This window comes from Homo sapiens, chromosome 2, assembly GCF_000001405.40.
Source record: "Homo sapiens chromosome 2, GRCh38.p14 Primary Assembly".
Lineage (NCBI taxonomy): Eukaryota > Metazoa > Chordata > Mammalia > Primates > Hominidae > Homo > Homo sapiens.
In genome coordinates, this window is record NC_000002.12 from 91,593,833 (window position 1) to 91,609,157 (window position 15,325).

At 42.5% G+C, this 15,325-nt stretch overlaps 1 pseudogene, besides 1 other annotated feature; it reads left to right on the forward strand.

Moving 5' to 3' along the window:
• The window catches only part of LOC388996 (otopetrin 1 pseudogene), a 32,073-nt pseudogene that overhangs the window by 4,404 nt on the left and 12,344 nt on the right, over positions 1–15,325 (forward strand).
• Positions 1,035–1,200: a silencer, noted in NCBI's record as "fragment chr2:91782891-91783056 (GRCh37/hg19 assembly coordinates)". NCBI's record gives its function as "represses an EF-1alpha promoter that drives an FKBP-Casp9 reporter gene in an ReSE screen in HepG2 liver carcinoma cells {active_cell/tissue: HepG2}" and the evidence as "EXISTENCE:reporter gene assay evidence [ECO:0000049][PMID:32094911]".

The window sequence follows — 15,325 nt, forward strand, 5'->3', positions numbered from 1 at the left end:
TCCATTCTGGGGCCACTATGAGGGTCTTGCTTAACTGCATGCGTTTTCTTACTTATTTCTTTTCTTAGATGATATTTCTGGTCCAATGGAAAATATAGACATAGTGTCACGATTTCAACACAAACAAGCGAATGTGGCTGCCAAAAAATCAGATGCAGGCTTGGCTTTCATTGGAAAGGAAATCAGACTGTGTGTGGAGGGTCTCATCCTCCTTGAGCATTTCACAGGCCCTTGGAAAGAGTGGCGGCAGGAGGAGCAAAAGGAGGTTCAGTCCAGAAGAGAGAAGGATGCGGAGGTCACAGGGTAGAAAGTGCTGCTGCCTTGCACCTGTCAGCTCCAGGCCATCCTCTGTCTTTCAGCAAGTAAGAGTCATTTCCTCTGGGAAGCCTCTCCCGATAGTTTCAGACCAGGGGCAGCCCCCATGTTGTATGGTCTCATAGCACTCTTCATTTTCTTTCTAGCACTAATCAAGCAGGATATTGTATTATTCAGTGACTGTTGGGGTAGCCAGACTGAGCCCCTAAAGGCAGAGACCCTGTCTGAATGTGCTTACCATTGTATCCCGAGCTCCTGGCACAGTGCCTAACATGTAGTAAATGCCAATTCGTAGCTACTGAATAATTGAATGATTGAATGATTGGGTGGATGGATGGATGACTAGATGGGTGGATGAATAAGTGAATGATGATAGAAGCTCCAGGGAAGAAGATGATAGTTCTGGGAAGTCAACTGCACTTCAATATAAAGAAAAACATTCTAAAGTAAGCACCAGGCCATGCGTGGTGGCTCACGCCTGTAATCCCAGCACTTTGGGAGGCTGAGGTGGGCAGATCACCTGAGGTCAGGAGTTTGAGACCAGCCTGGCCAACATGGTGAAACCCCGTCTCCACTAAAAATACAAAAAGCTGGGCATGGTGGGACACAGCAAATTATGAATCATTTGCTGGTCTCTGTTCTAGGTGCTGGGGTTTCAGCTATGAAAGGCTCTGCTCAGGTGGAGCTGATGTTCAGGTAGAGAAACAGCAATAAACAAACAGCTAATGAGCCCTCACTGGAAAGTTGGGGAGCGTGACCTGTGAGACTTAGCCCTCAACTTCTAGGAGCTTGGGGGTGGGGACAGAGTAAGCAGCACAGCACCCTTGAGCAGGGCTACCACCAGGGGCCTGGGAGGAGCCCAAGTCTGTAGGAAGGCTGCAAGGTTCAGGGAGGGGGCAACACCTGCACAGTCTTCTTTCTTTCTTTATTTTATTTTTATCTTTTAATAAGGACAGGGTCTCCCTATGTCTCCCAGGCTGGAATGAAGTGGTGTGATAATAGCTCACTACAGCCTCGAACTCTGGGGCTCAAGTGCTCCTCCCGCCTCAGCCTCCCAAATAGCTGGGACTACAGGTGTGTGCTACCACGCCTGGCTCATTTTTTAAAAATTGATTTTTGTAGAGACAGGGGTCTCGCTATGTGGAGTGCCTGTAATCCCAGCTACTCGGGAGGCTGAGGCAGGAGAATTGCTTGAAACCAGGAGGCAGAGTTTGCAGTGAGCCAAGATCATGCCACTGCACTCCAGCCTGAACAACAGAGTGAGACTCCATCTCAATGAAATAAAATAAAATAAATTAAAATAAAATAAAAATAAAACACAAATAAAGTAAGTACCAGCTGGTGATGGAAGGGTGCGCTTTGAGAGATGTTGAGCCTCCCAGCCCTGGGCTTGTCCAAGTAGAGATCAGATGGCTGCCGGTCATGATGCATTGGAAAGCATTCTTGCATGGGATAGAATGCAGACTAACTCTGTGGGACTTTCCGCCTCTAAGAGGGGGGGTTCAAGATTCTAGACTCCTAGGAGGGATTTGGGTGCCTAACAAAGAGGAGGGGGTTCCCTCTGCCATCACTAGATGGGTACCCTATGTAGTCTTTGGATTATTCTCAAGTATTGTAGCTGGTAAACTTTCTAATTGGTTCTAATGCATCAACATTTTCTTGGCGATTGAGTGATGATAATAACATCCCGCTTATAGAACTTTCTAGGTAAGGAACACTGTTCTAGGTGACTTCCATGTAATGACTCACTTAATCTCCTCAGCACCCCTATGAGATAGGTGTTATTACTGTCATTACATCTTAGAGATGGGGAAACTGAGGCAAAGGTAAGTTAAGTAATTGCGAAATTATATATGTATATATATTTATACATGCATAAATATATATGTATATGTGTATATATACTTATCTATGTATATGTGTATATATATACTTGTATATATATATTTATACATATATATGTGTTTATATAAATCAAAATCTGTTTTATTTGGGCACATGTGTGGCTGTTATAGCTTCCTCATACAGTCTTTGTGTTTTTTGTTTTTTGTTTTTTTTTTTTTGAGACAGAGTCTCGCTCTGTTGCCCAGGCTGGAGTGCAGTGGCGCGATCTTGGCTCACTGCAAGCTCTGCCTCCTGGATTCATGCCATTCTCCTGCTTCAGCCTACCAAGTAGCTGGGAATACAGGTACCCCCCACCACGCCCGGCTATTTTTTTGTATTTTTAGTAGAGACGGGGTTTCATCGTGTTAGCCAGGATGGTCTCGATCTCCTGACCTTGTGATTCGCCCACCTCGGCCTCCCAAAGTGCTGGGATTACAGGCGTGAGCCACCACACCGGACAGTCTGTCTTTTATTATATGTAGTGATAAAAGAGGAAGGATTCTTTATCCTACTTAATACATTAACTTTAAATCCCGTATGGTCTGATATTAATATTGCCATTCCAACTTTCTTTTTGTTTGCATTGCCTGATTCCTCTTTGTCCACTACTTTATTTTAAACCTTTATTACTTTGTTAAAGATGCAATTTGTGTAAAGATCATGTAACTAGGTTTTGTTTTTAATTCAATTTTCCTATTCTTGCTTACTCCTTAGTGGGAGGATTTAGATCATTCTAATTTATAGAAATAATTTATGTGGTTGACTTTTTTGTTTCCATTTTTCTTTTCGATGTTTATGATGATATATTTTACATTCCTATTTCTTCCTTTTCCTCTTCCACATTTGCCTTTTTTGAGCATTTGAAAATTTATTCTGATTTTTTATTCCATTCATGGCCATTTTTTTCTTCCCTCACTCTCATAATCTGATGCATATTACTTCATTCTTTTTTTTTGAGCCGGAGTCTCACTTTGTTGCCCAGGCTGGAGTGCAGTGGCATGATCTCGGCTCACTGCAACCTCCGCCTCCCAGGTTCAAGCGATTCTCCTGCCTCAGCCTCCAAAGTAGCTGGGACTACAGGTGCCCATCACCACACTGGGCTAATTTCTTGTGTTTGTGGTAGAGACAGGGTTTCACCATCTTGGCCTGGCTGGTCTTGAACTCCTGACCTTAAGTGTTCCGCCCATCTTGGCCTCCCAAAGTGCTGGGATTACAGGTGTGAGACACCGCGCCCAGCTGCCTATTACTTCTTTCTTATTTGAAAACAAAATATTGAACATTTCCCTCAGCAAGCCACACTGTGTCCCACTCCAAGATGTTCACTGCTCCCACTTCCTCTCTACCTAATGGGATGAGATCTTTAGGATACGTTTGCCTCCCTATTCCTTTCCCTTCTTCCCTCTCCTTTTCCATTTATTTACCTTGAGGGCTTTCAAAGGTTTTTCTTTGTTCCCTATCCAGTCCTTTTCCAACTTAGGTTTTTTGTTGTTGTTGTTGTTGTTGTTTTGTTTTGTTTTGTTTTGTTTTGTTTCAGATGGAGTCTCGCTCTGTCACCCATGCTGGAGTGCAATGGCACAATCTCGGTTGACTGCAACCTCTGCCTCTTGGGTTCACACCATTCTCCTGCCCCAGCCTCCCAAGTAGCAGGGACTACAGATGCTTGCCACCACGCCAGACTAATTTTTGTATTTTTAGTAAAGACGGGGTTTCAGCATGTTGGCCAGGCTCATCTCGAACTCCTGACCAAAGGTGATCCATCTGCCTCGGCCTCCCAAAGCGCTGGGATTACAGGTGTGAGCCACTGTGCTTGGCCGAACTTATGGGTTTTGTAGAGATAGTTAATAGAATTTAGCCTCAAAATGTCTATTCTGTATGACAAGTCTTTATAGGGCATGTAAGTTACACATCTCAGGCAGTTTATCCATTTGAATTTAAGTTCTTCTTTTCTCTCCTATTAATCTAATTATCTATCTCCATCTGTCTCTCCATCCATTATACCTCCACCCTCCTCTAGCCTTCCACAGAGTTGATTGGTCACTATAATTTGCTCTCCTCCTCATCTTCCCCTCTTTTGGGGACTCTCTTCCAGTTCACAAGCTCCTTGGTTAAAGTCCTTTGTCAGACAAGTTATGTGGATGACAGTTTTCTCTGTTCTCTGTTCAACAATCACCTCCTTTCCTGCCCATGTACCTTCAACCTCAGTCCCCTTTTCTGCTTTACTTTTCTTCATGCACTTAGCACTTCCTGACATTCTTTATGTGTTTACTATTTACCGGTTAATTTTTTGCCTTCCCCACTAGATGTGAAACTCCTCAAGGGCAGATACTCTATTTTATTGACCTTTATATCTTCAGTGCCTGGGACAATGCCTGGCCCATGGTTGCTGCTCAATAAATAGCTGTTGAAAAAATTACATTTTGTATACTTCAAACATCATTCTGCCTTTTGCCCTGACACATGGGCGACATCTTAGCTGAGAATAAGGTTTTTGAGGTGCAGTCCTTTCCTTGTGGCACATTCCTCCACTGTCTTCTGGTTTCCCAGGCTGCACAGAGGAAGTCTGTTGCCAGCTCATCTCTCTGATATTTTGTGCACACCCCAATTTATGCAATATTATACTCGCATATTTTTGTTTCTACAGCAATCTCCTATGTCTGTCTTTGAGCCCTTGGCACAATGTCTCATGCATCGTAGGAGTCCCTAAGGTGTTTGTTGTATAAACAACTGGCTGAATGAATCCATGGATGAATGGATGAACACAGGAAGAAAGGGAGGACTTAAAGAGTATATTATTGAACGCTTGGCATGTCAACCACAGAGATGGTCTAGACCAGTAGTTTTCAAAGCGGAGCCTAGATCAACAGTGGCAGCCCCACTTGAAAACTTGTTAGAGATGAAAATTTTGGGGCACCACCCAGACCTACTAAATCAGAAACTCTGGAGGTGGAGCCCAGGAATTTGTGTTTTAACAAGCCCTGCAGGTGATTCTGATGCAGTTTCCAGTTTGAGAACCACTGCTGTAGACCATCTGCATTTTCTGTATGGGAATCCTGAGGCTGGGAGCAGGAAGTGACTCATGTATTCTGTGAGTGTCCAGGTCTCCGTACTTTCAGGCCTGTACTCTTGCCACTCAGCCACGCTGCCTCACCTGATCTTGCTATGTTTTTTGTAATTAAAACCAACCACGTATTTGTCAAAACATTTCAAAGCACTGGGATTGAATCTCCACTCTTACAAAGTTTCCGATTTCATTGGGGTGTTTTCAGGATTAAAAATGTGAGTTAGAGTTGTTTCTATAAGGCTTTGAGCGGTGGAAAAGTGCCAGGCGATTGCATTACTTTTCAGAGGAGGCTTCTCAGGCTGGGGCTGTAACGTTATAGCCCAATGTTATGGCTCATGCCCTCCTCTCTGCTCAGTGCCTTAATGCATGTCATACATGATCCAGTTTCCTCCTGTTGGTAGGAGCAAATGTGTAAATGGCAGTCAATGCTAGCCCAGGAGGGAGATGAGGAACTCTGACTTGATCAAGCACTCATGATCATTGCCTTTTTCTCACTAATTTCTTCATTTGTCACCAAGTGTCTTTTTAATGTATTTTGTACATTCCTTTCCAGTCTTTTTTATATGCAAATTTTTTATTAGTTTGTCTTTATATTTTGGGCAGCCATGCTCATTATAATATCAAAGATTGCTTCCTTTCCTCAGTACACCTAGCACAGGCCCTTCCTCAGCTACTACTATAGAGCCCTTACCCATCTATTTTTTTTTTTCTAATATACTTTCAGCCAGGCTCAGTGACTCATGCCTGTAATCCCAGCACTTTGGGAGGCTGAGACAGGCGGAGCACTTGAGGCCAGGAGTTTAAGACCAGCCTGACCAGCACACCTGTAATCCCAGGTACTTGGGATTGAGGTTGAGGCACAAGAATCACTTGAACCTGGGAGGTGGAGGTTGCAGTGAGCCAAGATCGTGCCACTGCACTCCAGCCTGGGCGACAGAACAAGACCCTGTCTCAAATAAATAAATAAATAAACTTTCCATTTTAGAAAAGCTTTAGATTTATGGAAAAGTTGCAAAGACAGTTCAGAGAATTCCTGTATACCTGTATGACCTGCACACTCTGCACTCTTATTTCTTATTATTTCTTATTAATATATATATATTTTGAGACAGAGTTTCACTCTTGTTGCCCTGGCTGGAATGCAATCATGCAATCTCGGCTCACTGCAACCTCCACCTCCCGGGTTCAAGTGATTCTCCTGCCTCAGCCTCCGGTGTAGCAGGATTACAGGCATGCACCACCACACCCGCTACTTTTGTATTTTTTAGTAGAGATGGGGTTTCTCCATGTTGGTCAGGCTGGTCTCGAACTCCCAACCTCAGGTGATCCACCCACCTCGGCCTCCCAAAGTGCTGGGATTACATATGTGAGCCACTGCACCCGGCCAGCTGCACTCTTATTCTTTAGAGAACAGGATTTTAGGATTAGAGAATTGAGATTTTTGAGTAGAGCAGTGACATTCTTAGATTTCTCCTTTTTGAAAAAGCTTCTGGGAGCATTCTGTTGACTGCACCAGGCTTCGTTGATTGTGTATCATTTGTCAGACTCTAGGCTATGGGGTGGGTACAATGATGAACAGGACACAACACCTGCCTTCTAGTTTTACCTTCGCAGCTCAACAGTAGAATTTGTTTATTTATTTAGAAATAATTATTATGTTATTTTTGGGTAGAGATGGGGTTGCTTAGGCTCTTGGCCTCAAGTGATCCTCCCGCCTTGGCCTCCCAAAGTGCTGGAATTACAGGCATGAGCCACCATGCCTGGGCTAGAATTTATTTTATTAATATATTTTTAATTATGGTAAAACATGCATTTATATACATAAAATTTACCAACTTAGCAGTTTTCAAGTGCACAGCTCAGTGGTGTTAAGCACATATGCACTGTTGTGCAACCAACCTCCAGAACTTTTTCATCTCGCAAAACTGAAACTCTGTCCTCATTAAACACTAACTCTTCATTCTTCCCTCCCTCTAGCACCTGGCAACCACCATTCTATTTCTGTCTATGAATTTGCTTACGTTTGATACCTCATATAATGAAATCCTACAGTATTGTCCTTTGGTGGTTGAGTTTATTTTACTTAGCATAATGTCCTCATGGCTCATCCATACTGTATCGTGTGTCAGAATTTCCTTCCTTTTTAAGCTGAATAATATTCTGTTGTATGTCTATACCTCATTGTGTTTATCCATCCATCTGTTGATGGATGTTGGGTTGCTTCCACCTTTTGGATACTGAAAATAATGCTGCTATGAACAGGAGAATACAGATATCCCCTCAGGTCCCTGCTTTCCATTCTTTTGGGTATATACTCAGAAGTGAAAATGCCAGATCATGCCATAATAGTATTTTCAATTTTTTGAAGGCCCTCCCTACTGTTTTCAGTAGTAGCTGTACCAATTTACATTCCTACCAACAGAGCACTATTTCTCTATATCCTCACCAATGCTGGTTATTTTCTATTATTTTCTTTTTTTTTTTTTTTGATAGTAGCCATCCTGATAGTGTGAAAGTATTTTGTAGTTTTGATTTGCATCTCTCTAATAATTAGTGATGGTGAACATCTTTTCATGTACTTGCTGGCCATCTTTATGTCTTCTTTGGAGATATGTTTATTCAAGTCCTTTGCCAATTTTTAAATTGGCTTTTGTCATTGTTGATTGATCGATTTTTGGAGACAGAGTTTCGCTCTTGTTGCCCAGGAGTGCCATGGCATGATCTCGGCTCACTGCAACCTCTGCCTCCCTGGTTCAAGGGATTCTCCTGCCTCAGCATCCCAAGTAGCTGGGAATATAGGCATGCACCACCATACCAGGCTAATTTTTGTATTATTAGTAGAGACAGGTTTCACCACATTGGCCGGACTGGTCTCCAATTTCTGCCCTCAAGTTATTCACCCTCCTCGGCCTCCCAAAGTGCTGGGATTACAGGTGCGAGCCACTGTGCCCAGCCCATTGCTGTCAATGTATAAGAATTCTCTATAAATTCTCTCATAGCAGCATTATTTTCAGTATCCAAAAGGTGGAAGCGACCCAGCATCCATCAACAGATAGATGGATAAACACAGTGAGGTATAGACATACAACAAAATATTATTCGGCTTAAAAAGGAAGGAAATTCTGACACACGATACAGTATGGATGAGCCATAAGGACATTATGCTAAGTAAAATAAACTCAACCACCAAAGGACAGTACTGTACGATTTCATTATATGAGGTATTTAATGTAAACAAATCTGTATATTGTGGATATTAATGACTTATTAGGTATATAATTTGCTAATGTTTTCTCCAGTTCTGTGGGCTGTCTTTCCACTTCGTTGGTAGCATCCTGTGATGTGCAAAAATTTTTCATTTTCATGTAGTTCGTCTTATTTATTTTAATTTTTGTTGCTTGCATTTTTGGTGTCATAGCCAAGAAATTATTGCCAAAGCCAATGTCATGAAGCTTTCTCCCATGTCTTCTTTTACAAGGTTTATACTTTTATGTTTAGATCTTTTATCTGTTTTGAGTTAATTTTTGTATATGCTGTAAGGTGAGGGTTCAAATTCATTCGTTTGCATGTGGACATCCAGTTTTCCCACATTTGTTGAAAAGACTGCCCTTTTCCCATTGAATGGTCTCAGCACCCTTGTGAAAAAAATCATTTGACCATATACATAAGGGTTTCATATGTAATATAATTTATTTTGAAATGACATCAATGTATATTAATGGAATGTGTGTGTTTCCACTTCCCCCTTTATCCCACATTTAGGTAGTATCACATTGTTTGCAGTCATTACCATCATCCTGGGATGCCTTAAAATTAGATACTTCATTGGATTTTCAGAATGTTTATCAGCCACTGAAGGAGTTTTCCCTGTCACCCATTCAGTGCATACTTTGTTGCAGGTAAACCACTGATGTTTATTCATGTTGTCTCATTCCTGTGGAGTGTATCCCAGGTTGTGTAGAAACTTGTAACATCGAGACATGTGGCAAGTGGAGACAGTGTGCACAGCTGTGAACTGCAGTGAACTGAGGTGAACTGAAGTCTATCTTTGAGGCTTAATTCTTCAGCTGCCTCCATTGCAAAATAAAACTCTGTGTCCCCATGGCCATTTTTGCAGGGATCCTATGAGGCAGAACTTCTAATGATGAAGAGTCAGGAAATTCTGCCAAGCCAGGGTCTACAGTAAAAGCTTGAGGGAGTTTTATTTTCTGGGTATGTAACAGGTTTATTGAGAGAATTCACATGGCATATAATTCAGCCATTTAACATGTGGAATTCAACGGTTTAGTCTGTTCATAGAGTTATGCAACCATTGCCAAAATCAATTTTATTTTTAAAAAAAATTTAATATTCTTCCTACATAGAAACCTTGTGCCATTACAATGCCTCCTCTGGGTCATGGAAGCGCTTTTGTTTTCTTGTTTGGGGATTAAAGTCTTTTAGAAATGTATGAGGATTTTTTCCCACAGCATTGGTAAACTTGGTATGGCTCAGAAGGAAGGATTTGATAAATATAATTTAAATACATAGCTTAGGGTCAGAAAAATCTCATGGTTGAAAAGAATGTTAGATGGGCTTTCAGGGTAGTGTTCGCCCTTGGCAGAAATCCGTGGTAATGTTATCAGAGTCAGGATCTGAATTGTTGAATTGTCAGTCTCATTTTTTTTTTGTTTTTTGTTGTATATGTTTAAGGTATACAACATGATTATTTGATATTCCTATCCATAGTGAAGTGATTACTACAGTCAAGCATATTTATGTCTGTCATCTCACATAGTTGCCTTTCTTTTTTTGGATGTGGTAAGAGCACCTAAAATCTATTCTCTTAGCAAATTTCCAGTATACAATACAATAGTATTAACTACAGTCTTCACGTTGTCCATTACATCTCTAGAATTATTCATCTTACGTATTTGCAACTTTGTACCCTTTGACCAAAATCTTCTAATTTTTCCCCTCCAACTACCATTCTACTCTTTATGTTATTTTGTTTTTATTTATTAATTTAATTCAATTTTAGAGACAGGGTCTTGCTCTGTTGCCCAGGGTAGAGTGCAGTGGTGCCATCACGGATCACTGCAGCCTTGAATTCAGCTCAAGTGATCCTCCCGCCTCAGTCTCCCTAGTAGCTAGGACTACAGGCCCACATCACCATGCCCAGCTTCTACCATCTGTTTTTATGCATTGGATTAAAAACATTTTTCTAGATACCACATATAAGTGAGATTATGCAGTATTTTTCTTTCTGTGTCTGCCTTATTTCACTGAGCACAATGTCCTCCAGATTTGCCCATGTTGTTGCAAATGGCAGGCTCTGCCCTCATTTTTTTCTAACGAAGAAGTTGGAGCTCAGAGAAGACAAGTGACTTGCTCAAAGTCACTGCGGAGACACAATGATTATTTTCTTCCTGACAAGTCACCCTGGAAGACCATGAACTTGTTCTGGTGATACTGCCATTGCTGGAAATATTTTTGGATTTCCAGTTTGAGAAGGTTCTTTGGAAAGTTTTCTACCTCTAGAAAACCAGGGATGACATTTTTAAAACTTCATCTTTTATCCAAAGTGACCGTCAGCTTGTACCCCCAGCTGACTTACCGGACAGCACTGGATGACCTTAGAGTGTTTCTCTAGATCAAACACATTCTCAAACAGTGAAGCTAACAGACAGAACATGCCCAGTGAGCCTGGAAACAGTTTAGCTCCCTGGTGGCATGGTGGGATCACTGGGGAGCTTGCTGAGGGGCTCATTTGGAGGGGCTGCCTTGCACTTGAAAGCTTTATGAACTGAGTCATATCCCCTGTGAAATTCATATGCTGAAACCCTCATTCTCAGTACCTGAGCATGTGACTGTATTTGGAGATAGGGTCGTTTAGAGGAGATTGAGGTTAAATAAGATCATTAGGCTGGCCCAAATTCAATATGCTTAGTGTCTTTATTTTTTATGTTTTTGAGATGGAATTTTGCTTGTTGCCCAGGCTGCAGTGCAATGGCATAATCTCGGCTCACTGCAACTTCCGTCTCCTGGGTTCAAGCAATTCTCCTGCCTCAGTCTCCCAAGTAGCTCGGATTACAGGCACCTGCCACCATGCCCAGCTAATTTTTGTATTTTTAGTAGAGATGAGGTTTCACCATGTTGGCCAGGCTGGTCTCGAACTCCTGACCTCAGGCAATCCACCTGCCTCGGCCTCCCAAAGTATTGGGATTACAGGCGTGAGGCACCGCGCCTGGCCCTGGTGTCTTTATAACAAGAGGAGAGAAGGACACAGACACACACAGAGAGACAGCCATGTAAAGACACTGGAGGAAATTGACCATCTACAAGCCAAAGAGAGAGGCCTCAAAAGGAACCAACCCTGCCCATACCTTGATCTTGGATTTCTAGCCCCAGGACCCTGAGAAGAGAAATTCCTGTTATTGAAGTTGATGATCTGTGGTCCTTTGTTATGGCAGCCCAAGCTGATCAAAGATAACTGGCTGCTCATTCCAGGGGAGCCAAATCCCGTGAAGACAGAGCCTTATAGTGATACAGTGACAATGTGGAAAGCTTTCGTGAGGCCAGAACGAACTGCATTCGTTCATTCATTTATTTTTCTTGCAGTTCATCTTTAAATACTGGATGAACATTGTTCTCAGCATGGGGAATACAAGGCTGCAAAGTCTGTGGCACACACCGTGGGGGTGTCAGTTAGGTGAGAGGCAGTCCCCAAAACAGTGACAACGCTGGGCTCAGTGCTTTGACCAGAGTGTCCCAGAGCAATGAGGGAGCACAAAGGAGGGCATTTCGGCAGCTTGGGGTGAGAGTCAATTTCTGCCAGAGAAGGTCCCAGAACCGTTTGTGAGAGAGGGAGGAGCACAGGGTTAGTGGGTCAGAGGCCACTGGAAGAGGGTGTCTTTGGGACATGCAGTCTTTCCTCACAGTGGGGTAGCGGGAGGATGTGTGGGCACAGGCTGGATCCCTGTTTGGTGTAGGGCTTGTAAGCTTGCACTCTGGTCAGATTGCATGACTCTGGCTCTGACCACAGCTGTGTGACTTCAGGAAAATTATTTAACTTCTCTGGGCCTCATGGGTCTTACTTGCAAGGTGAGGACAATCACAGTACCTACTTCATGGGCTCGTTGTAGAGATTAAAGGCACATGTGTATGAAAAGCACTTGGCACAGGGCTAGGTGTGCAGCAAATTCTTGGTCAAGGCTGACCACCACCTAGGGGCTTGGGCTTCACCTCAAGGGCAGTGGGGAGCCACTGAAGGCTTTAGGCAGAAGAATGACTGGGACAGATATGAATTTTCAAAATATCCCTCTTAGTTGGTGGGTTGGAGATCCTAGCTTTCTAATTTAAGGCCTTTTATTGGCCAGGCAAGTCAATTAATTAATAATTCTATACCTGTTGGACACTTACCATGTGCTTTTGCTACATTAGATGACTGGCGAATGGAAAAAAGTATATATAACAATTAGGCGCTGTTCTAAAAAACAGAGCATTTATTTTAAAATTGTGGCAAATACTGAAAAACCCGTAGATATCAGGATGAAATCGCTTTTGTCAGACCCAGGCAAAATAGGCCTGGGAAAGCGCTAAGGAGAGGGCACTTCTGTCTACGTGTCTGAGATACAAAGTGTTTCCAAAGACTTTCTAAAAACCCTTCATGCATCTCCTGCTTTGAAGAGGTTGGACATTACTAGACATTCATTAGGACTGCAGTAAAGCAGATAAGATGCTCTTGGAAGAACACTTGTCCAGCACTGGCATCTCCACCAATGAACTGATGACAACTCTGGCTTTGAGCCTCTAGAACCGATGAACTTTTTTTCTCTGTGGATTATGTAAATCTCTCTTTGCTAATAACAGCTCCTCCTTACCCTTCCCTCACCGAATGCGCTGGTGGCTTGCCATTCCATGCATTCTGGACTGTAATTCCTATTTCCAAGTAAATCCAACATATTTAGCGATAATTTTCTCTAATGTCTTTTTTTTTCAGGTTGACAATCACATAACATTTACCATCTTAGTCATTTTAAGCATATGGTTCATTAATGTTAAGTACATTCACTTGTTGTACAACCAATCTGCAAACGTTTTTCATCTTGCAAAACTGAAACTCTGAGCCCACTAAACAACTCTCTATTTCCTCCTCCTCTGGCTTTTGGCAAACTCTGTTCTACTTTCTGTCTTTATGAGTTTGAATATTCTAGATGCCTCGTATAAATTGAACCATACAGTATTGGTCTTCTTGTGTCTGGCTTATTTCTCACAGCATAAAGTTCTCAAGGGTCATCCATGATGTAGCCAGAATCATGGCTGAGAAGGAGCCGTGTATTTGTGTGCACATGTCTGTCTCACCCTATGGTGCCTGAGGCTCTCCCAGGGCTGCTTGAGAACTGAGTCCTTGTGTTTTTCAGGTTTGGGGTGATCCACTTGGTGTTCACCAACCTGCTTCTGTGGGCCAACGGCGTCCTCAATGAGTCAAAGCACCAACTCAATGAGCACAAGGAATGGCTCATCACTCTGGGCTTTGGGAACATAACAACAGGTGAGTGCTGAGAGAGGTGAGTGACCCCTCTGCCATGTTGGAATGTCTTGGAAACCTGCAGAGTCCACAGTGTTCAGAGATGGAGTGTAGGTTCCAAAGAACTTCAGGCCCACCAAAGTCAGCATCAGCCAGACAGCCCCCTGTTGTTGAAAATCTTCCAAAACCTGAATCTCTCATAAGTGATGTGTACTGAGCATAATTAAGGTTTCTTCCATGACTCAGGGACTTGTAAGACCCACGGTGATCATTCTGATGGCCATTTCTCATGGTCCAGTTTGCCGCAGAAATAAATGTCTTTGTTTTCAACTACAGAAGATTGATGGTTGCCTCTGCTTGTGTTTTTAATTAAACCTCTATTACCAGTTCTTTCTAGTAAAAGTATGGCTTTTAAAAATTCATAAAAGTCTAATGGTAGGTTGTGGTTAATAGGCTGTGGTTCATTTAAAGTTTTAATTTAACTGTAGTTGGCTTATAATTCTAGCTCATGTCTGTTCTACCTTGTTCCTATTTGAGAGCCTGTTGGGTTAATCTTTATATTTTCATCTAAAATCCTTTAGCATTTACAATATGTCACTTCTATATGAGAACATTCAGGCTGAGGGGAATGTGGGGCAGGGAACTGGGTGTCTCAGGTTTGTTCCCATCATGTACAAGCTGTGTGACCTTTAGAAGACTTTTAATCTCTCTGAGCCTCCCTTTTCTCATTTGTAAAGTGAGGGTATCCAAATCATGCACTTGCAAAGATCCCTTCCAGCTTTAACATGCAGCAAGTCTGTGACAGCTGTGTGAACCCAGGCTGTCCTGGAGAGCCACTTTGAACCTGTTTTGTCATCAGTGGGGTGGAGACAACGAAGTCACCACCCCCAACCAGCAGGCACTCGGTGTTTGGGCCTCATGTCCTCTTTGGTATCAATATTAGTAGCAGCAATGACAACAATAACAAAAGTAAATTTTTATTAAGCATTTGCTGAGTGCCTGCCACTGTTGTTGGAAATTTACACATGTCATTTAATTTGTACCCCCACACTCTCTGGTAGGCTATATATGTGTGTATATGTATGTGTATATATATATATATATATATATATATATATATATATATATATATATATATATATTGTTGTTTGTTTGTTTGTTTTGAGACAGAGTCTCACTCTGTCGCCTAAGCTGGAGTACAGTAGCGTGATCTCGGCTCACTGCAACCTCTGCCTCCCATGTTCAAGTGATTCTCCTGCCTCAGCTTCCTGAGTAGCTGGGACTACAGGTGCGTGCCACCATACCTGGCTAATTTTTGTATTTTTAATAGAGACGGGGTTTCACTATGTTGGCCAGGCTGGTCTCCAACTCCTGGCCTTGTGATCCGCCAGCCTTGGCCTCCCAAACTGTTGGGATTACAGGCGTGAGCCACTGCGCCTGGCCTCAGGTAGACAATATTAACCTCATTATATGGATGAAGGCATCAAGCCACGGAGAAGTTAGCCCAGGGTAACACAGTGAACATGTGATACAGCCATGATTTGAATCCTAACAAT